This window comes from Homo sapiens, chromosome 2, assembly GCF_000001405.40.
Source record: "Homo sapiens chromosome 2, GRCh38.p14 Primary Assembly".
NCBI lineage: Eukaryota > Metazoa > Chordata > Mammalia > Primates > Hominidae > Homo > Homo sapiens.
Window position 1 is genome coordinate 66,545,000 of NC_000002.12, and position 23,848 is coordinate 66,568,847.

Below are 23,848 nucleotides of genomic sequence, written 5' to 3' on the forward strand. Positions count from 1 at the left end.
TGTTTGTAAAACTTGCTCATAAACAGGCATGCAAAAGTACTCTTGAAAATACAGGAAAATAAATTACTGTGACAATTTTCAGTTTTCAAAGTAACTAAAGATAAATGGTATAAATAATAATTTTTATCCAGTTCTGGTCATAATATTAAGACATAACTAATAAGACAGGGCAAAAGGTTTTGCCATCTGACTATACTAAAGAAGGACTGTTGACATATTTATTAATTCTATTAAAAATCACTGCAAGTGATTTCTGTAAGACCTGGACAACTGTCAGCAAATAATTTTACAGGAAATGTTATAGATTGGAAGTTGCTTGTGTACTTCAGTGTACAACTTTATATGACACATAGTGCCAGTGGTGGGATGCTAATATTTGCATATTTCAAAATTGAGCTTGTCTTCTGGCACTGCAATATTGTAAGAACTGCTAGCCTGGGTAATCTTTAACCTCAATGGATCTTAGAACTCTGGATGACAAAATTGAGGATAAGAAAAGTTGTCTGTTGTTCAAAGTCCCATAGTTAATGAGTGGCAGCATCATTTATACAATCTAATAGAGTCACCTATATTAGGTACAATTCTTCAACTAGTAGAGACATAGACCTACTGTATATCAAGCTGTAATTCAGCATTCTATCCATGGGATAAGAAATTCATTTGGTTTGTATTGTGTGCCAAATCTTTATACAGTGGGAGTTATGTTTTAAACCTTAGGGTAATGGATTCCTTTGAGCTCAGTAGCCAGTCATGAGACTTTGGCTGCAATGGCTGGCATTCTGTTGAGTAGTCACTTATGATCTTAGCCTATTAGGAGGTTTATATACCTTCATTTGAAGAAAGTGGGTCAACATCACTTTTGTGAATGAAGCAAAGAAAGTAGTGTCATGGATCTTAAATTGGATTGTTTCTGCTTTGTTATACAATTTGATGTTGCATCTGAGTGGAGAGTGTCTGTCATGGCATGGTACAGCCATTCCTTTGTTCCACAAATATTTAGTGATTTTCTGTTATGTCCCAGTCTGGGCTTTGAGGATAAACAGAAAGCAAGGCAAGGGGTTTATTAGCATTGGTAGATGAGTGAGAAAAGACACACCAACAAGGAAATAAACAATTAAAGCAGGTGCTTCAGAGAGTGATGCTTGCTATTAGGGAAATAAGAAAAAGATGAATGTGAGCGTGATAAGGCGGGGTGCTGGGAGGTGGGGAGGGTAAAGCTGAACATTTGAGCTGAGAGCTAAAAGTGACATTGGGGTAAGAATCTGAGTGACGGGAAAAGCTGGTGGTGTTAGGAAAACAGAAAGAAGGATGGTGTGGCTTGGTATAGGGGTAGGAAGCGGGTGAGAAGAAGGTATCAAAATCTGAGAAGTGGGCAAGGCTGGATGGTGACAGGCCTTGCAGGCCATGGTAACCAGTCTGAAGGTTATTTCACAGGGGACATGAATGGGGATTATGAAAGGCGTCTGCTACATCCTTTGGTCATGGTGAGGCTTAGGCACTGAAAGGGAAGCAGGAAATATCACTGACTTATGTCTGCCTCTGTCCATCTCTTCCCCTGGCCAGTTTCCTCACCTGTAAAACAGAAGGGATGATAGATTCCATTTATGTCACTCAAAGGGATATAATGGGGATTAATTACCATCCTGTCTGTAATATACTTGGAGCTCTTTAGAGAAAGGCACTATATTCCATGAAAGCAAAGCCTTATTCTAATTGTGTATTTATTGATTAAGTGACAATCATAGACAATGCTTATGGGAAAAATTGTGATCTCTCTGCTGTTCACAAACAAATCCCCTGTGTATAGATATAGAGCATATTTAAACTTACATATAAGAGTACTGAAGTGGTCATTAACAAGCCTTTTTAGCATCTAATCAGACATTATTAATTAAATTAAAAGCTATGTCAATTAGCATTCAATAGACGACAATTTAGTTTCCATGGCACAGATAGTTAAATTAAGGGTTGGGGGTGCACTTTTCCATTCATAATAGAATAGAGGGTTGACTCTCAGAAGAATTTTATCTTGGGATAATTTATTGAGATGTGGTGTTTCAAGCAAGCTAATGTCTCTATAGATGGAAACCATATCCTCAGCTCCTCCCCTAAGCTTTAGAAATATGTATTTCAAATTAGATATATTTGATCAGTGAACAGAAAGCATTTGTGCCAAAACTAATTTCAGTAGAATTCCAAACGTTCTTACAGGAAGGTATGAATTTCACTTTATTATCTAATCCTGTAATACTTTTATCTACTATGACTCTTGAGGAACATAGCTGGGCTTGTTCTTAGCATGCAAAATATGCTGGTCTTTGACCTTATATTGGCCTGTGTTCAGAATCTCAGCATGTGTTGACATTCAGATTTGGAAACCAACATTGGTGAATTTTGTTTTTTTTGCTGAGGACTGAAAATGAATAGTGTATGTGTGTGTGTGTGTGTTTAATAGCACCCACTTTAGATTTGATATTTGCATCTGGCAATATGGTGTTTTAGAGGGAGAACGTCACTATGTGGACCTCAGCTGAGATTGTTGGTCCAAATGGGTCAGCTTTAGAAATTTATGGTTCAATGAATATATTAAGTTAGGGCAGTATACTTTTAGGTGGTAACAAATGGCTTGTCCTTATTTTAATCCTATAAAATACAGTGAAGATCATACTAAACTTTCTGTGTTTGCAACAAATAAAGCTGTTAAAGGATAAACTCAGTGTCAAGGTTCTGCAAGTATCCTAAGTAGCTATTTATACACTTCATTAATCTTTGTAATTGGCTTGTCTTTTACTGCCATTAATTAGATGATGTAGTATTCCATTAATAAGAGTGACACACCTCAGCATTTTTACCTTTAATTATAGACTTCATGAGACACTTAGGCTATTGACAAAATGGCTAAATATTGCCTGATGCACACGTATCTTTTTTATTCTCTTTCAGCACCCTTACCCTTCTGAAGAACAGAAAAAGCAGTTGGCACAAGACACGGGACTCACCATCCTTCAAGTGAACAATTGGTAAGTAATTTGGCTTTGTGTTTACACACAATCTGTTTCCCCCTCTGGCAACCTGCAGCTCATGTTTTGCATTAAGAAGACACACCCAGTTGCCACTGCTTTCCCTGGTGGCTTGTTGATTCAAAAGTGAAAACAAACTGTTGACTGATATGTGAGAACATTTGCTAGTATGGGAAATAAAACATTGTATTGTCTTCTACCTCCTTTATAAGTTGACAATTTTATGCATAGTATAAGTATGTGTGTAATTCACATTCACTATGGCTCTGTCAATGTATCTCTCTCTATGGCTTTTTTTTTCCCCCTTCAGGGTAATCGATAGAGTAGTATCATCCTATTTTCTACAAAACAAGAAAATCCACCATCACATATCAGTCAGGTTTAAATTCATTGAATAACTAAATTCAGTTAGATTTTGTTAGGGCTATGCATTCAAGGATAGCCTCTCCTTTGCTCTTATCTCCTGAATACTGAAAGGAAGAAATTATTTGTTTCTCTTTGAGGCTATTCCAAACCTGAGGCATCTCGTGGCTGTGCAATACTGTTTCTAAATAAAGTGTAAATTCCTGATTTGGGGCGAAGCTGAGATTATGTACCAAGTACCAGCCAACAATATTCTGACTCAATGTACAGCAGTGTGGCAATGAGGCTTTGAGAAAGTATGATTTATTACCCTTTGTGAATGTGCTGAAAGCCAGGTTTCATATAATCACCCAGGACTAGTGTCATATTTGAAGGGTATCGAAATCCAATATCCTCTAAAAGTAAGTGTATCTAATTAATTGTCCTAATATTTTTAGATTAGTGTTTATGATGGGGAAACCTTATCCTCTTTGAAGTAAAATCCAGAAAAGGCCCAAAGCCTGGGCTGGGGAAGGGGAGAACTAGGAATGCCAGTTTGCAGACAGAAGTATTTCTTTCTGTTCAATAAGTGTCAAAGATTAATATTACAGAATCTCTGATTACATGGCCTAATCCATTTTGGTGAATAAATTTGTTCTTGATGTCTATTGCACCTACATTAACAGACCCTTCTCTGTTAGAGAGCCTGGGAGCCTTTGGGAGAGATTTCAGATATATTAAACCCCATTACAGAAAATGTAATTTCTGTCAATATAATCCCATGTATTCTTCAATTTAGTATTTTAGAGATAACAAGCTACTTACAATATATTTGCCTTTGGAGGATTAATTTACAAAGTGCACTATCTGCAAGACACAGACAGACTCACATAAGAATTGCTTGTAAGGGTTATCAATTTCTATGACCTTACTGCTGCCTTGAGAGATCAATTTTTGCAGCCCTTTTCATCAGTGGATGGTAAACCAAGCAAAGGCATACTACATCTAAATGTGTTACTACGAGTTGTGTGGCTGCTGAGGTTTTTTGTTTGCCTATTTCTACCTGCTACTGTGTCTTAATTTTCAAGGCTGTTAATACTACATATTGGAAATTTCAAATATGTAATAATTTCATATTTGAAATATGAAATTTCAAATATGTAATATTTGAAATATAATATCCTGGATGATATTATAGGGGAGACCATCAATTTTGCGTGCACATCTAGATTCATATATCTGTATTTTAAAACTTAAAGCTGATGTTGAGACAGTTTTAATACAATGGAGGCTGCACAAATGTCCGCATTTCCCTGGGAAGTGTTCCTGTTTGCGGGCAAAGGAGTGGCAGGACAAGCTCTCTAGTTAAGAAACGAAAAGCGCTGTCATTCAGGGGATCTATCCTGTGAGCCATCTCTCTTCCTCTGCAGGGTTGCTAGCAAACTCCACTCATAAACACAGTTACCAGAGAACAAATCCCAATACAAGTTGCTTACTATGGGTGGACGGCCTTATTATGGGATATTTCCTGTGAATGCAGGAAGAGGAAGGCATTCTTGTGACTTCAAGCAATATATATATACACACAGTTTTCTAAATTCTATGCACAGTCTCTGCCGGAGAGCAATCTTCCTAATCAGTCCATGATCACAATTCGACTTTCTCAGTTTTGTAACCAGAAGGGAGAGAAAGGATGTTTAAAAAGTTTTAATTCACACTCTAAAATAATTTTAAAGTATATGCAGACTTTACCCTAAACTTCACACTGCTATTCAATTCTGCACGGGTAAATAACTTAAAAATAGCTTTTAATTAGTTATTTGGGACAGAAACACAATTCTGTGCTTAACTGCCACTTTGTGCAGTGTGTGGTTTCTCTCTACTTGTATATATATGGAGTTAGAAGTGGCTTTTGCTTGCACCACAGTGCTTTGCATTTGGCAATTGTTTCAACATTTAACAATGTTGTTTGCTGTAGAAAATGTCCCTCAAGTAACTAAAAGTTGTAAGAGAGATTGTTTTTCTTTAGTTTGACAAATAATGACAATACCATGTTTGATTTGAATTTTTAATGGTTTATTAATTTTTATAGAAACCTCTTCCTGTTTTGTTTTGTTTTGTTTTGTTTTGTTTTGTTTTGTTTTGTTTTGTTTTGATACCGAGTCCTGCTCTGTTGTCCGGGCTGGAGTGCAGTGGTGTGAACATGGCTCACTGCAACCTCCAACTCCTAGCTCAAGTAATCCTCCTGACTCAGCCTCCCCAGTAGTTGGGAATACAGGCATATGCCACCATGCCCAGTTAATTTTTTTTTCTTTTGTTGAGGCAGGGGTTTTGCTATGTTGCCCAGGCTGGTCTCTAACTCCAGGGCTCAAGAGATCCACCCACTTCAGCCTCCCAAAGTGCTGGGATTACAGGCGTGAGCTACTGCACCCACTTATAAACATTTTTTATAAAAAATGTTTTTCATCTTAGCTATACTGAGCATCGGTACAAGTTATTTTCTACTAAAAATAATAATTTTGAAAATGTCATCATTAGTATTTCTGTGTTTCCCTTTCATTTATTTATCCACAACTTTTAAACATCTGTGTCTTCCTTCTTGGATTTCTTAAAACTTGTTAATACACATGTACATTTTTGTATGAACTATGAGTCACTGTTGAAATGCAATTCAATAAAATGCTGAAGGACAGGTTGAGTGTAGATCAGTCATAATTATTAGCAGTAACATAATGTATCAAAATATATAATATGTAAGTGAAAAATATAAACTCATGTCTAGTTGTTAGAGTGTCATAGAAATCCTGGCTGATGCAGTTTTAAGTTAGGCTTTGACTGAAAAATAGACAAGAAGTTTGCTACATTTTAATGGTTCTTTCACTTCATCACTGAACTAATTTTACATTTCTCGAATTGACAGTGATATATACTACCTGCCTCAGGTGGCTAAGGCTAAAGTACATGGGATTTGAGGGGAGAAAGGCAAAAGAGGAGAGAACTTAAAAGTAAAACAATAAGACTGATTTGATTAATTAAGAGAAAATCTGGAAAAAAGAAAATCTCGTTATAACTCTTATTTTGGTCCAATTGTCAGAATAAAAATGGAGAGAAAGAATCTTAAAATGGTTGGCATCAGTACTTACAGCATGTGGGCCCTAGGATGGAATGTGAAATTTATTAGATGTGACATTGTGGGCCAAGTCTATGCCAATAAATTTTTTGAGAATTGAGGCAATTATGTAAATAATTTGAGTAAAATATTTTTAAATAAATTATCTAAGTATTTGATGTGACTGCATATTTTTAAAAAATCAACCTCCATAACTAGTTGTCTAAATATTTCAATCTAGTATGTTGTGGTTGACTTAGATTTAAAAGTGTAATCATTTTCGAAACATAATATGCACCAGAGATTTATGTATTCTTCCTTCTTTGGTCCCTTGCTCCCAATTATAATTTTATCCAAAAATGATAAATAATAGCATCAGGGGCTTTTGTCTCTTTGCTTTTTTACTGTTGTTGTGGTTTTAACAAATACTTATGTTATATCAGCAGTGCAAACATTACCAATATGCAAATGTTTTAGTAATTTAAGTAGAAACATCTTAAATTTTGAGATTAGATGGTTGTTTAGACCTTTAAGTATTTAAGTAGAACTTTATGGAAGACACACACACACACACACACACACACACAATCAATACTTGGTTGTTTTTTCTCCTGAATAGACCAACTTAATTTTTTTATATTGAAAATGTGAGTGTAGAATGGTCAGATAAAAATTCCCTTATACATGATCACACCAGTGTTGCGGACCTGGGAATTCCCTGTGATGAAAACTTATCTCTTGTACTTGTGTCGTACTTACTGGATGCCTCAGTTGCCTCCTGCCTCAGCAGAGTTTTGGCCTAGGGTGTACTGAATACATTTTACAGTTTCTTTGTTTACTACTCCTCATCCAAACACTTTCCTATTAAGTTCTGATATTAAATGATTATCCCTTTATGCTCTGAGAAGGCAATATGGGTTTTAGGTGCAAAATATATAGTGTATGTGAAATACAGTATTTATATATAGAGAAAAATTATTCTCCATCAAGAGAGCATATAAAATTCCAGGTTCCATCCTAGCAGCCAAGATGACACTGTTCAGAACTATGGTACTCTACATTTCTTAGATTTAGTGCTCATACCAGATTTTCCTAGTTATTTCATTTATTGCTTTCAAAGCTGCAAAGCATTCAGGCATCACTTCCCATTTATTATGAGTGGGAAAAAAGTATGTTATCCTTGGAGATTTATGCCACTGGCAAGTAAAAATGTAAACTTATTTTTTAAAAATAAGATCTCCTTTATTATAATAAACAGATTCAGCTGTTAAAGGTCAAGTTTCTTTCTGAGTTATGGTAATAATATAGCAAATACTTTTACAAATAATCAAAGATTCTATAAATATAGGTACCTGTTTAGATGTAAATGTTAAAACATTCACAAATTATCCTTTCAACTTCTGTGATCTAAAAATCAATAGGGGTCATAGGGTTTCATAGAATTGTTCTGCTTTTTCTTCCAACATAATTTAATAATACATTTTACAGATGTTGTTTGAATATTAGACACAGATTGTTTTGTCAATAAAGTTAAACAGAGGTATGACACAAAAGCAAGGAAAACAGATGTAAAAAAAAGAAAAAAACAGTACACGATGCAAGAAGCTCTGGGTCACTTGTTTGCTATTCAACTACAAAATTAAAGTGTGGGCTGTATGGTGATTTTCCTTGCCTAGGAATCACCTAGGGATGGAACAGCTTCACACATAGAAAGTAATTGTATTAAGCAGGTGGTTTAACTTTTTCCCTTGAGAATTGAAGTGTAACCTACATTTAAAGTAGACTTCCTAATTGATCAATGGAGTAACAGGTGCGGTATATTAAAAAGAAAAAGGAGAAATATAAATGGAAGAACTCCCCAGAATATTTCAGAATGGGTTGTTGTTCTTCAAGCCTCGGTTAATTGCTATGCTTTTCACCTTGAGTGTCAATTCTAATAATATTACCTTTACAGACGCTTACTCTGGGCTTAGATTATAGCAATCAGTAATACTCACTAGATAAAATACTGTCTAGTTGCTCATAAGAAAATATTGAAATCAGTCAAAAAATGTTTAGCTTGCATATTGCCTGAGACAGAGCTGGCGGGGCGCCAGACAGGCAGGGTATTATTAGGAAAGCTGAGCAAATAGCTCGCAGGGAAAAGAGCTGTGAATTTAGAAACCTTCAGGTATTGTCATGTCAGAGAGTCTTAAGAGTTCAACAGAGACACTGCTTTTTTTTTCCTTCAGATTTAAAAAATTTCCAACAAACAATCTTCTTTGAAAATGACTCTGCAGTCTGTTAAATATACTTTGTTGTAAGTTTTACACCATAAGTTTACTCAGAGCTTTTCCCCACTGCATAAAATCACATCGTTAATACTGTTAAAGACGAAAGCTCCTTATGAAAGAGTACACTTTGAAACACTGTGCTGGCTGGAAAAACCCTGCCCCTTCCACCATGGGGCCCTAAGTCTAGGTGAGAAAAGAAATGAAGGTCTAGGATGTAGGAAGGGTGGATTTGAAAGTCCAAATATGGTTTTGTGTAACCACTGTTTCTCCTCCAGCCAGCATTCAAAGGCAGTTGCTGAGCTTCTCAGGAGGACAAGACACTAGCTGGAAGCTGCAATCCAGCTGGTACAACCTGAGGAATTATGTCGGGACCCTGTAGGGTTGGGGTTCAAGTGAGGCTCAGAGTTGAGTGAGTTGGGAGACTGATTTACCCAGCAGGGACCCAATGTTTCTGAATATCCATGATTCATTTCAAGGCAATGAAACCAGTGACAACGGAGGTTGACTTTGAACATGGTATGCAGGTCAGCACAACTTGTTGCAAATCCTAATTAAGCCAGTCTTCTTGTTTTCAGTGTGTCTGTAAGTATCTGGTCAGAGAAATGCAAACAACAGGCTGTGGGTCATGCAACCCGATGGGGCAGGACTTGACTCCCATTTCCCTGGAGAGGGCATAGGGATGAGGGGCTGAGAGGTGTCACGGTCAAGGGGGAAGAGCTTGGCTACGCCTCATCCATAGGTGGCTAAGGTGTAAGCCTCATGACAATTTAAAATTTACACAGGGCAAGTATGGGAAGGGGAAATGCAGGGACAGGTCGCTGCAATCAAAACATTTCATCCCTCATCCCTACTCCTTGGATTTGGGCGACAGTGTCCTCTGGTTTAAAATGGACAAGTAGGACGAATTAGTCAGGACTCAAAGGACTCTTTTAGCTGTAATATTCTAGACTGTGTAATAATGTGAATCAAAGAGAAGTAAAGTGTGCGCTCTGAAACTCTCATTCCAGCTTTATCCTAGGAGTGGGGAAGGAAAAAAAATACTTTGATAAGGAGACAAACAGAGAAATTAATTAAAAAGTTGTAGTTGTAACTTTCCTCATCTTACATAAGCAAATCAAACACTGTAAAATAAAAACTAGATGAAATTAAACATTATCACAAGACATGAAAAAGATGTGTGCTGTCATTTTAGGATTCATAATAAAGATAAATCAGTTGTTTTTAGCAGTGTGCTATGAGTCTATGAAGGGCATGACAGATAATAGGCTCGAAATTTCTGAAGTTATTGTACAGCAAAATTTGTTTTTTCCTCAGGCATTCAATCTTTTTCTCCAGTAATTTTGAACATGACAAACTTTTTAGTGGATGCATTAATAATCTATAAGTAATGGGTTGTCAGGTGTCAGTTAGATAAGATTAAAAGACTGTTTAAGCATTATCCATTTGCTTCTTTGCATGAGTTTTATAGGTCAGCAGAAATAACTTTTTGAATTGTGGTTGTGTGTACGTGTTCTCTCTCTCTCTCTCTCTCTCTCTCGTCTCTCTCCACCCCCCAAACCCCCCTCCCTCTTTCATTTGGCTCCACTCCAAGCATACGTGGAAGAACCGTATTACATTCCATAAATCCTGTATGTAAGAGCAGATTTGAAACTCACTATGTGAATCAAGGGGACAAATGTCTCAGCTGTCTTCTGTAAATGTATTTTAGTTTTTAAAATGTTACTCTTCATCTTCTCAAAGGAAGCTCTGTAAGGGGAAACAAACTCGGCTAAGAGGGGCATTGAAGCTTTAGACATTAGTAGTTTCCTAGCAAGTCAGGTTTAGGTCTATTCTTGTCAAATATGTCTTAAGTGTGTTTACATATAGTTTGCCTTTCTGGTATTTTCTGCTTGCACAGACCTGATCTCCACCTATTTTGTGTCAACAGTTGCTGAGGCTGGTGTTGGGTGATTAACCGTTAAGCACGGAAGCGCAGTACCCAGAGAGACCCTCTCTCTCCTCTCACTTACATCATCATCTGGCTTCAGGCTGTGCCTACAGAAAACAAACAGCATTTTTGAGTGGTTAAAAAGTCAGCCTGAAATATTAAAAAATGGGGCAAATGTTGCCTCCTGGTTGAATAGAACAGTTTTCTTGAAAAATGGAGTGGAGCCAGGGGCTCGGGGGAAGGAAGTGTTTCCGAGGGCAAACGTTGGTCTTAGATCCGGTCTGCATTGCTCCAGTGTGTGCACGCCGAGGAGCTTTCTGTAGACGCTGAGGGTTATGTTCTGCTTCGTTTTTGATTTTCAAGGGGAAAGAGGACATACAAAACAAAAACAAAAAAAAACCTACAACAACATGGATGCCTGTAACTTTGGCAAATATAAGGCTGTCCTGTTCAATGCCCTCATAAATCATTAATATTTTCCTGTCTATTTTATTTTCATTCTTACAACGCTCTTAGCCTGACCCCTTAATATGGAAAATAATTAACTCTTTCATGCTCCTGATGCCTGAACAATAACAAATAAACAAAAGAATATTAATCTGTTCCGACATATTTGAGAGGTTTCTTTTCCTTTTTACCCTCTTAACTAACCAGTGCCTCACAAGATTAGATCCTATGGTTGAAGAAGGGGAAAAGTATTTCCTTTTTCAAACACATTAACTCCTCCAGGTCTGGGGGAGATGATTGGAGCTACATGTAACTTAGCTCAAAAATAAATGTCCTGCCTTTGGTGAGATCTGGCTTAATATTGATAAAGTCACTTTTTTTTTTTTTTCAAAAACAATATGTTGCCTACGGATGGAAGTTAATGCACCATATAATTATACACACATACACACGTGCATGTAAGTTTTCAGTATTTTTACTCTAGGATGCTAACTAAATCAAATGCAAACCAGTAGTCTTGAGGTTTGTTGTCTGGTTGAAGGGTTTTGTTGGCCTATATCACTAGGACATCTGCAGTGGTTGACTTTGTTTGTTTGCTAGTTTGGGTCATAGTTCAGATGTACTTGGAAAGGGCCGGGGAGTGGGTAGGGGGATGTTTTAAAAGCTTATGGAAAGAATTGAACATGTACAAAAAGATATAGGATCTCAGCCCCCTGGCTGGTTACCTGACAATACTGTTTACAGAAAGGAAAGTATAGTAGGTTATGGCAGAGATTCCTATCCTCAGGACTTGGGGCGGGGTGGGAGGGGGCGCAGAGAGGGGGTAGCGGGGCACATAAGAAGCATGTCACAATCATTTTGAGTGAATATAGTATTTAAAAAGCATATCGAGAATTAAATTTTGTTTTTAGTCATGCTATTTCTTTTGAAATTGCAAATAACAAAGGAATATAAGATTTTTGATGTGTCAAAAGGGAGCATGGATTAAAATTTTAGAAACCCTATGCTACAGAACCATAAAGTAAAAATCCTGGGAGGGAGGGAATTTATGCATCATACGACAGATGAGGCTCAGGGCTAATTAGAGGCAGGGCTAGGACTGGTTCCTAGTCCAGTGCTTCTTCCAGTCCACTAGAATGTACTTATTTTTAACAGCTTTATTGAGATATAATTCATAAACCATCATTTCACCCATTTAATTCAATGGTTTTTAGTGTGTTCACAGAGTTGTGTAACCATCCCCATAGTCAATTAAAAGACATTTTCACCACCTTAAAAAGAAGCCTTGTACCCTTTAGCTATTGCCCCTCTTTATACTTCCGTCTCTCTCTCCAACAGCTCCTGGCAACCACTAATCTACTTTCTGTCTCTATATTTGCCTATTCTAGACATTTCACCAATGTGATCATGGAATACGTGGTATTTTGAGACTGGCTTTTTTCACTAAGCATAATGTTTGCAAGGTTCATCCATGTCATAGCATGTATTATCAGCACTTCATTCCCTTTCAAGGCTGAGCAATGTTCCATTGTATGGATATAAGGTATCTTTTTTTTACCTATTTATCAGTGGATGGGCATTTGATATTCATCTCTTACCATTATAAGCGTTCATATACAAGTTTTGGTACCATTAAGTATTTTTGGGAATGACAGTATAGCAACAAAGACCTGTCTTAGGTTTGTATAATTTGGAAAGCACTTTTCATTCGATCATCCCAATTTCAGCACCTAAACACTGCTAGAAAACTTGCCGGTGAGTGGCAGTTTTCCCACTCAGTTCTCATATTCTTCTCACTACACACTGCTCTCACTTTCCCCGCCACTGGGTAGTGTTTTGACTGTGATAATTACGAGTGATGTTCAAAGAAAAGGAAAGTTGGCTGGGCACAGTGGCTCACGCCTGTAATCCCAGCATTTTGGGAGGCCGAGGGAGGCGGATCACCTGAGGTTGGGAGTTCAAGACCAGCCTGATGAACATAGAAAAACCCCGTCTCTACTAAAAATATAAAATTAGCTGGGAGTGGGGGTGCATGCCTGTAATCCCAGCTACTTGGGAGACTGAGGCAGGAGAATCGCTTGAACGCATAAGGCAGAGGTTGCTGTGAGCCGAGATTGCGCCACTGCACTCCAGCATGGGCAACAAGAGTGAAACTCCATCTCAAAAAAAAAAAAAAAAAAAAAAAAAGAAAAAAAGAAAAGAAAAAGAAAAAGGATAGTCACACTGAAATCCAGCAACTCAGCAGTAAAATGCACAAAGTTCCCTCGAAATGACTTAGATGACCATAAGCATTTTCAAAGATTTGACAGATTCCAAGATGTCATTTTGCTAATGTTATTGTCTTTATTCGAGAGATTGTTTTCCTTTAAGTGTGTTTCCATTTGTATTTTAAAGGTCTACAGGTTACATATTGACATATATTATTACATAGAGCTTAGGTTTCAAGCTTTACTCATTAAAACAGAGGTCACAGTGAACATTCCAAGGATGCATGCAAGCCTCCATTCAAGTCAAATCATCTTCATTGTGCCATTCTATAGCCTAATTTCATAACCAGACGGAACTAGAAATCAAGCTAAATTTTGAGATATCCTCTCTTGACATGAGCAGAGACTCCAGGTCTAGAGGTTTATGGTTGCTGAAGACTTGGAGAACTGAGGCAACTACAGGCAAGATCCTAGAGAAAGGAAGGAGCTCAAAGGTACTCCAATATGGAGCTAAGATTCTTTAATACCTGATTAGGGCCAGGCACAGTGGCTTATGCCTGTAATCTCAGCACTTTGGGAGGCTGAGGAGGGCAGATCACCTGAGGTCAGGAGTTTGAGACCAGCCTGGACAACATGGCGAAACCCTGTCTCTACTAAAAATATAAAAATTAGCTGGGCATGTTGGTGGGTGCCTATAATCTCAGCTACTAGGGAGGCTAAGGCAGGAGAATCACTTGAACCCAGGAGGCAGAAATTGCAGTGAGCTGAGATCGAACCACTGCACTCCAGCCTGGGTGACAGAGAGAGAGAGAGAGAGAGAGAGAGAGACTCTGTCTCAAAGACAAACAAACAAGTAAACAAAAAAACCTGATGTATATGGGGGCTGGTTGCCATTCTAACACAACGGGGTTTTAAATTATTTGGGGGAAACTTTCTTTGGAAAATAAAACATATTTGATCATTAAGGTGACCATGCATCCCACTTTCCTGGGAGGCTCATGGTTTATGCCTGTTGCCCAGTGTAATTGTTAACAGTGCCTCTTCACTCTCAAACGTGTCCCAGTTTAGATGACAAATTATCTGCTCATCATATTTATAATAGAGATTGGCAGAAAACTAGAATTTGCTTTAAATAGATACATTTATTCAGTAATGTGTAAGGGATGTTTTGTTAGATTCAATTTTATTGACTTCTTGTGAATATGGAAAAATTGGAATTTAAATGAAAAATGGTTCATCTATTAAACTAAAGAGAGACACTTCTGTTCTTTGAAGACATTATTATACCTATTTTAGCTTTTTCATTAGTAGAGGAAGTTTTGCTATATTATCCTAGATCATGCTATTGCTTCTACATTGTGCTAATAATCATTTTAAATCTATATTCTAAACCACTATTTTTTTTAGCTCCATAAGGTTATACAAACTCAAATTTGGCAAATTGTCTGTTACATGTAAGTAAATATTTTATGTTTACTTAAATATAAATATAAACCCTGTCTCATTCTGTTGCCTAGGCCGGAATGCCATGGTGTGATCATGATTCACTGCAGCCTCCACCTCCTGGATTTAAGCAATCCTCCCACTTCAGCTTCCCTAGTAGCTGGGACTACAGGTGTGCACAACCAGACCCAGCTAATTTTTACATTTTTTGTAGAGACAGGGTTTTACCATGTTGCCCATGGTGATCTTATACTCCAGGCTCAAATGATCCTCCTGCCTTGGCCTCCAAAAGTGCTGGTATTATAGGCATAAGCCACAACTCCCTGCCATCACTTTTTTTTTTTTTTTTTTTTTTTAGGATGAAGTCATTTCAAAATTTGCTTTCAAGGAAAATTTTCTGTAATATATACCAAGTGATGAATTATTTGAAATTTATTTTAATGCCTAAGGCCAAAATAATACATGAGTTTTGATATTACTTTGCATCATCATTGTCAACTAGTGATTGGTTCATTTCACAAGCTGCTTTAAAGAGAATTTTAGTGGCTGGGTGCAGTGTCTCACACCCAGCACTTTGGGAGGCCGAGGAGGTTGGATGGCTTGAGCTCAGGAGTTTGAGATCAGCCTGGGCAACATAGTGAAACCTTGTCTCTACAAAAAAAACAAAACGACAAAAACTAGCTAGGCATGGTGATGCATAACTGTAGTCCTCGGAGGCTGAAGTGGGAGGATCACTCGAGCCAGGGAGGTGGAGGTTGCTAAGCTGTGATAGTGCCACTACACTCCAGCCTGGGCAACAGAGTGAGACTCTGTCTCAAAAAAAAAAAAAAGAAAGAAAAGAAAAGAAAATTGTATATGTAATTACCTTCCTCAACTGTGGTAGACAATTTCAGTTCTTTCTAAAGTAATTTGGCAAATACCCCCAACACTGTTAGAGAAGGAAAACTTTTCATGTGGCTGATTGATGGACTTCTTATGATTTGACCAAATTTCAATATTATGTTTATCAAGTGGGTAGAGAAGAGAGGTGCTCCCTTTTCCCCTCCTGTCTATTCTCCTCCTGCCGCTGTTCTCTACCTCCCCTACCCGCAGACACACTGATGATGTATTGCAATCTTGGAACTGTTGGATCCTGGAGGAGGTTAAGAAACTAGAAAAAGGTGCCAAAAACATGATTTCATAAGGTTTGACTTGAGAATGAATCAACTTTCTTGAATATCTTAAAATCATGTTTCATGAAATTTTATTTCACAAAGAAAGGGAGTGTAGAAGACTTGAACTCTGAAGACCAACAGTTATGGATCATTAAATCCAATATGTAAATGTAAATCTAAAATAAAGAGTTCCAACAGAAAAATTTCAGAGTGATTTTTTTATTGTTGTTTAAAAGAACAGAGAGTTACATGGGAGATAACTAGACCTCTTTCCCTGAGGGTTTGTTTATAAAACATGCCTTAAAAGTTATTAAGGGATGCTGACTTTAAAAAAAAGTAGTAGATATGATTTTATTTAAATGACTATGATATAGATGAAGGAAATGCTATGGTGAGGAAATTCCTGGAATAAAAAAATAACAAAATGTTGGGATTTGACAACTACCTTCCAATGATAAATTTTATATTTGAAGATTTTTCATGAGGTTTAAATTCTAAAATTTGAAAATATTTATAGAAATCACAAAAATGAATTATATATCAATTATCATCTGTGCATGTTTATTTTCTATTGAATAAAGAATAGTATATGCAGAAATCTTATATTTAAGAATGCACAGTGTTAATTTTTATTACTAAGTTTTTATAGAGATATTCCTAACGCTAGCTAAATATTAATAAAAGATTATTATAATCAGCACTTCCCTTAAGGGATAGTGTAGGTATAGAAGGCATTGCCACTAATCAATCTAACTAATTAACAAAATCTTTTCTTAATAGTTGATTAGCTTCTTAGGTACTTGCAGATGTTGTAAAATGATATTTCTCTGTCTAGTTAGGAACCTTCTGAAGTAATTCTATGTCCACCACTATCCTGCTGACAGTTCACTTACGCCTAGTTGGCAAGAAACACGACGGGGGGTGAAGCAGAGCCATGTCATTGTTTGGAGGCAACACCATTGTGATTTTCTGTGGTTTACCAAGTTGGCTGTGGCATGCTAACATAACCAAATGTGGGCTTCCTTTAATTATCAGGGAGTAAGTAGAGTGGTAAACACTGAGGAATAGAACTAATTGAGTAAAGGTGAAAATGCTATTTCTGAAAGTGAGCAAGTAATTTTTTTTTTTTTTTTTTTTTTTTTTTTTTTTACTTTTATCAGTATTACAGAGAGCCATACAAGGGAGGAAAAGGGCAAAGGTATGTGGAAAATGTTGCCTGTGAAACTGGGAAACTACCTTGTGTTTTGGCTCCTAACAGATGCCCACTGTGATCTCCTCACCTCTCCTGGTTCTCACAGAGGGAAACTAAACTTAGCAATTCAGTTTTGGGGGAAGAGACCAGGGAAAGGAGTGGAGGATAAACTAAAGGACAAAGGTCAGTTTCAAAAAGCTGTTCTGCCAGATCTTGCTCAGAAAACTATTCAGGTATCCAAAGACTGAGAATAAAAGGAGATAGATGAAATTAGTCCAGTGGAAAAAAAAAAAGCCTAATGATAAATAAACATCTGGGGACAAAAAAGAAAGAACAAAGCAAAACTTCCTGTATTTCTTTTTTAAACATGAGTCACAGTCACTTCCCATTCTCCTTGTCAGATTCCTATAAAAAATTCAAAATAAAATTCAATTTTTAGATGATCCAGGTCTCAGATTTTTGGAGATTTTGCTCCCCTGCCAACTTTCCTCTTTCGCTTTTTAGGACTTGAGTCTTAAACAAACAACTAAGTAAAAAAGAAATATATTTCTATTTGGACATGAAAAAAAGCTATAGAGCAAACCCATTATCTTCCTTTCCTTTGTAAAGCTTTTTGTTTTGAGACTGGAGATAGTTTGGTCAGAAGAAGAAATTCTAACTCATGATTCTATGAAAAAAAGGAAATATAAAGATTCTTCTCCTAATTCAGTCTTCCACCACCTGCAGGGAGTCCAATTCTTAAAAAGTACTTCACAAAAGAAGACTGTGTTTTCAAAGCAAACTAGATTTTAAGAAACCCTATGTTCGAATGTAAATGAAAAAGCAAACGAGACATTTTCTAACCTTAAAGCATACTAAAAGATTTACTTTTTCAAGAATCCCAATGTATGGCAAATTTGAATTATATTTCATTAAACCAAGGTGTGTAACTATCTATTTTAATGAGTGAGCAAAACTGTCATGTGGCTGTGTACTCCTGACATTCCATATCTGAGTTTTAAGGGCTATGTAATATTAGGACCTTAATTGTAAAAGTACAAAAGTTTCCTCTTACATCTTTAAACTAACATACTTTGTAAAAGAGACCTTATCAGTATGGAAAATTCTAAGATTGTGTGTATTTCATAGATATGTATTTGTATTTTATCTCAAACCATTTTGTGGCTGTTGGAGAATGTATTTTTTATAGTATATTCAAATTGGAATTTTGTCATTCTTTTTTATATTTCTCTTCCAAAACACTATTTCTTCTATGTTGAATCTCTAATATATATTTGTGTTCATACATAAATGTAGATATATATTTGAACACACAGACACACACACATACATATAGGATTAAGATAACTATTTTACTTATGCCTCTTAAAATGACAGGATTTTAAAGTGACAATATGTTCATTTAAGTTCACATCATATGTACAGTTCTTTTTTTGGTTCGGTGTTTAGAGAATTCTTGATAATTTAGACTCTTCCACAATGAAAAGTAAAGCATTCTGTCACAAAAGCAGGGAGGATGAGACACAAGGTCAAAGGGCATTTTAGAAACAAACAGCTGGACCAATTTATTTAAACAGATAGAGGGATGGGGAACTGACCTCAGTTTGACTTATAGTGGGAGGAGCAAGAATGTCATTTTATTACTTTGCCCAGAAGGAAAATGTTTTTGTATCTGAATTCACCCTGAAGCCATCTAAACATGGCTCTGCTGTGTGTAGCATAATTCCAAAGAGAGAGGATGTATAAAATAGTCTGGGATAATGATAAAATACACTAAAGAGAATCAAATGTGGAGATTGTTTAAGGTCGAAAAGGTGATGTTGTTTTAAAAATAAAATATTTTGCTATTTACTTTGTTGTTTTCACATAGATGTCCATCATGACCCCAAATAATTAGTTGTTCATATAAGTGTAGTAATTGTAATTCAGTAACGTTCTGAGAGATTACTACATCCTATATGTACTAATGATATTTCATTATATTGAATTTTTTAAATTAAATGTTTCACAAGTAAGAAGTTGCAGGTAGACCTACTAATGTGGTCAAACAGCTCAGAAAAGGTGATTAGTTTTTCTCAGGTTTTCAGTGTTTTTGTTTATGTTTTATTTTTTAATTAAAGGTTTCCCCCTTTGATATCTACACATTCTAGGGGTAGCTGACATCTGTGTTCTTAATAACAACAAACAGTTCTTGCCACCAAAAAGAAGCAAATAACATCTAGTACCTGTGGGCAGTTGGCTAAGAGGCTGTGGTATTTTTTGTGTGTATTTGCTTTCTACCTGGGGATCAGAGCAGGCCTGGAATAAATGTCGTTGGTGTTGTCCACTGCAAGGCTTCAGGAGGACATAGACAAAGATCAGCCTACTGAGCAGAGAGTGGTCCAGGTATTGAATGGACTCAATATCCTAGAAGGACTCACATTCTAGCAGGCACTTTTTAAGAATCACTAATGTTTAACCTAAGGATTAGAGGGGAGAAGGCTATAAAGCATAATGGCTATGTTTAACTATTTGAAGGGCTATCCTGTGGAAGTAAAATTAGAATTGCTTACAGTACCCCAAGGAGTTGTGCTGATAAAACTATTAGGTTGGGTGCAAAAGTAATTGTTTTTTTTTTTTTTAATTATACTTTAAGTTCTAGGGTACATGTGCACAACGTGCAGGTTTGTTACATATGTATACATGTGCCATGTTGGTGTGCTGCCCCCATTAACTCGTCATTTACATTAGGTATATCTCCTAATGCTATCCCTTCCCCCTCCCCCTGTAATTGTTGTTTTTGCCACTGAAAGTAATGGCAAGACCGCAATTACTTTTGCACCAACATAAATATTTTTGATCTAGTAAGGCAGAACCTTCTAACAGCCTTGTTTATAGATGGGGTGGCCTCTTAAGTAAGGTGGTGAGTGCTGTATTAGTTCAGCAGAGGTTACCTATGTACTTTTGGGGGACAGATATCATATAGGGGATTCATGTCAGTGACCAAACGAAGTGACCATTACAGCCCTTTTGAAACCTGAGGTGTAATTTTTAAAAATGAACTCACGACTTTAATAGTCATAGACTCAAACCTGAGTTGATTATTATGAATTAGTTTATGGGAGTCTCAATATGTGAATATGATGGAGACAAGTTTTGGAATACAGATAAATCAAGTCACTGTATTCACTCTCTCTCTCTCTCTTTGAATAGCCTTATCTTTGCCTATACACACAAACAGTGCAGCCATCAAAATTTTCAATTTACAAAATGTTCACAGTCATGCTTCTTCCTTGACTAAACACTGGGGTTGCTGCCAGTGGTAATTGGCTTGAAACCAGCTAATTTTTATATATCTATTTAGTCTGGATATTCTAGATGAGTGGCACTATAGTTGCGGTGCTCTAGTCACTGTGCCAGAGCACCAGGGAGGAGGGTGCTTGCTACCACTGACAGCTGTGTGTCATTTAGCAAATTATTAACATCTCTTTGGTAACATGTGACCTCAAAGAAGTCACCTAATTTCTCTGAGCCCAGGCTTCTCATCTGTTAAAAATGTCTCTTCCTATTTTTAGGTAAGTAGTATAAGTCACATCCATAAAAGATTATGTTTTTAAAAAGTCTGGAAAAAGAAAGTTAATAGACAGAATTCCTTCCCTCTAAGAGTCTGCAGATAATGAACAGTACCATAGATAAAGAGATGTTTTTGCTCTCTTACCTACATTAGTTACTATGAAAATTACTTTTGGTATATGCAGAATATTAATATTAAATAATTTTCTAATTGGTCATGCAGTGAAGGCAGCTAATGAAAAAACAGATTTTTTTTCATTTTAATTGGTTATTTCACATGGTGTTTGTGCTACACCTGTGCTTATAATGAGAATGGAGAATTAATCTAACCTTCTGCTCACATGATTCCAGTTTTCATGGTTTATACAAGATAATGATAACCTGATTTGCAACACAATTTGTTGTAGACCTGTGTTTTAAATATTTTTATTAGCAGTTCAGGGACTTCATATACAAGAACTGATATAATATGTATTGCCAACAAGAATTAGCACAAACAGTATACCTTTTAGTTAGATTCTAGTTTCATTATTTGTTTCAATTACTTCTCAGATAATGAAAGAACACAAGGATACAGGATATTGAGAATCTTAAAATGTTATGAAGTATGCATTTTTGTTTTGAAAACCTGTCCCTGTCTGTTTAATGGTTTGGTTTTTAGGAACTATTTTCCTTCCTGAAGTGGGCAGATTTACAAACTAGAATTCATACTGGACTATGGATCCTTTAATCATTAATAGAGCCTTATTAAACTTTTCATTGTATTTTTTATGTCCTGCTCAGATTTGATCTGAGTTGGGAACTAAAAGGAATTTACTATTTCAGAATCTAATATGTCCTCTTCATTTTCTGGATTTGATACGTAATTTTTAATATTATGCAGAACAAACGGATCTTAAGAGAATCTCATGCGTATGACTCTGGAGAGCGTATATTAATACTTTTTTACATGTCAGTGACTTGTCACTTTTGGAGAGGCTACAAAAATAATTGTACAAAACTATCTTATTAAGGCACTTAAAGTAACTTAAGTGCCTTAATAAGATGTTTATAAATTTTCAGTACTAGCTGGAGAAAGCAAAACTATAAGTTCAATTACTGTATATCTGTGACCTTGCCTTGACCTCAGACTTTACATAAAGAGCAAAAAAAAAAAAAACAACAACAACAAAAAAAGCCACCCCAAGAAATCTCTACAAGGAATGCATTTCTCTGAAGTCCTAAGCAGTGTGAGTTAGTGGTGATAAACTCCAGACATTCTCTCATTTGATGGTGTGCTGCCATCCCAGTTCATTATCTTAATAGTGGGCATTAAAATAGAATTAGGTTTGCAAGAGGTAGGGGTGGTTTTGATAAAAATTGTACAAAAGAAGTCAGAGAACATAAGATTGAAATGTCACTAATTAGGAGAGGTAACAGATGCCCTTATGAGCATCTAACTCTTTACACCAATTTTCTCTCTTTGCAAATGAAAGGAGTGGTGGCTAGTATTGTTTCCTGAAAACTCTGCTAATTCCCCCATGAAAAGATGAAATGGAAGTGTCCAACTGTGGTAAAACAGGCAAACATAAATCAACTCAGAAACCCCAAGCCTGTGTACTCAAAGGTCACTGGGGGTTACAGGTTTTCCAGCACGTGAGGCTGCACATAGAGCAATGGAGAGAACTGAAGGAGTCCCATTTTGCCAAGATCTAGTTTTACTCCAACTGCGATTCATCTTTTCCTCTTCCTCAACCCCCCCTTTTATTTTTAAGGAATAACGATTTGTTTCACTTTCTTGGTTACAGGTTTATTAATGCCCGGAGAAGAATAGTGCAGCCCATGATAGACCAGTCCAACCGAGCAGGCAAGTCCCCCATAGTGACTGTATTCAAGTCACGCAAGCGAAAACCATCCTCAAGCCATTCACCGGGAGGTCCGCTACCTGGTAAATAAACTGGGAGTGAGTATAGGAACGCCTGGCAATTAAAATTAAACCAGTTTCGTTTCATAACAACACTAATCAATTTAACATCATTATAAAACGTTTGGAGAAGGTGGAAAAAAAAAGCCAACAGAGAAAAGTAACTCTTAAATAATATGCTCAGTTACAATATTCTTTGTACACATTCAATATATTAATGTTATTTTTTTTCTGAGTTTGCCTTCCCAGCTCTTTCTGCTACTATGACCACTCCCTGGTGCATGGCTTGGTGTGGAATTGCTGTAAACTTTATTACCTGTCAAAAGGGCAAAGGGGTCAGGATTGCTTGTGGGACTCAGTAAAGTTCAAAGACATTCAATGAGGTAGAGCTTTTGTGTGCTTTAATAACCCAAGGCAGCTTACTTCTGAAGCAGCTTTTCATGTACAGTTAAAACACGGGATTCAGGTAGTGGTATAAATACATGGTTCTTATTTCTCAGACCTTCTCTTGTTAATATCCATCTTCTGGTGTTCGACTTTTTTTTTTTTTAATAACAGTCTTTTTGTTTTGTTTTTAAATTATGAGCTTAAAATGGCGATACTTCTATGGGATCCTGGCTTGTGGATCTAAAAATCCAAGAAACATCTCTCTAGGATTTGTTTTTGCATTATAATATGCCAGTAAGATAACAAGAGTATTTGCTAGGGGTGATGTGAGTCTTTACTTTCTTTATGAAATACTCTCTCATCTCTTAGGGAGCACTATGGAAAACTATGTTAGCATCGCATTGAGGCAACACACATTTACTCCTGTAACTTTTTTTCTTCCAACACCCATTATGTGGTCACCAGACAAAACCCAAGCAGAAAGTTTCCACACCTTAACTGTTCCCTCTTTGAGCTAGATGTTTTAAAAACTCAGTCACAGAGGTGTGTAGATCTAGTCTGAGAGAAATTTCACTTTGAATGTTTAAAAAATTATACTAGCCTGCTATGTTCTGTCTCTTTCTCTGGTATGTTCTCCTCTTAGTCTCTCTTGGGCTATTTCTTTTGCTCTCAGAGACTGTTATTAAAAAACCACATTCTGTACTTTTGTAGTAAGTCAAGGAACACCTTATAATCCTGATGGACAGCCCATGGGAGGTTTCGTAATGGACGGTCAGCAACATATGGGAATTAGAGCACCAGGTAAGACTTTGTTTTTGTGGTAGTTCCTCATTTTTGACTCCAAGAGTGTCATCCCCTCATCAACACAGGTAAATCCGCCTCATCCTTTTCT

General features: G+C 36.6%; 1 protein-coding gene and 1 long non-coding RNA gene across 2 annotated transcripts in view, besides 4 other annotated features; both read left to right on the top strand.

The window, feature by feature from the left end:
- MEIS1 (Meis homeobox 1) overlaps positions 1–23,848 on the top strand; it is a 138,745-nt gene that overhangs the window by 109,875 nt on the left and 5,022 nt on the right. Inside the window, exons 9-11 of the mRNA NM_002398.3 lie at positions 2,944–3,020; positions 22,454–22,512; positions 23,668–23,757. Coding sequence (NP_002389.1) covers positions 2,944–3,020; positions 22,454–22,512; positions 23,668–23,757 — 226 coding nt within the window. The remainder of the gene's footprint in view (positions 1–2,943; positions 3,021–22,453; positions 22,513–23,667; positions 23,758–23,848) is intronic.
- Positions 2,619–3,310: an enhancer, noted in NCBI's record as "HHc2:066650". NCBI's record gives its function as "enhancer in forebrain, midbrain, hindbrain, eye" and the evidence as "EXISTENCE:transgenic organism evidence [ECO:0001131][PMID:22448256]".
- Positions 2,619–4,987: a biological region, named in NCBI's record as "HHc2:066650 enhancer in MEIS1".
- Positions 3,026–16,125, top strand: LOC124900511 (uncharacterized). The gene is made up of 2 exons (XR_007086610.1): positions 3,026–10,372; positions 10,672–16,125. It is a non-coding gene; the product is annotated as an uncharacterized LOC124900511 (long non-coding RNA).
- Positions 3,222–4,987: an enhancer, noted in NCBI's record as "HCNR629". NCBI's record gives its function as "enhancer in neural tissue" and the evidence as "EXISTENCE:transgenic organism evidence [ECO:0001131][PMID:24642863]".
- Positions 9,609–11,427: an enhancer, noted in NCBI's record as "HHc2:066659". NCBI's record gives its function as "enhancer in forebrain, hindbrain, otic vesicle" and the evidence as "EXISTENCE:transgenic organism evidence [ECO:0001131][PMID:22448256]".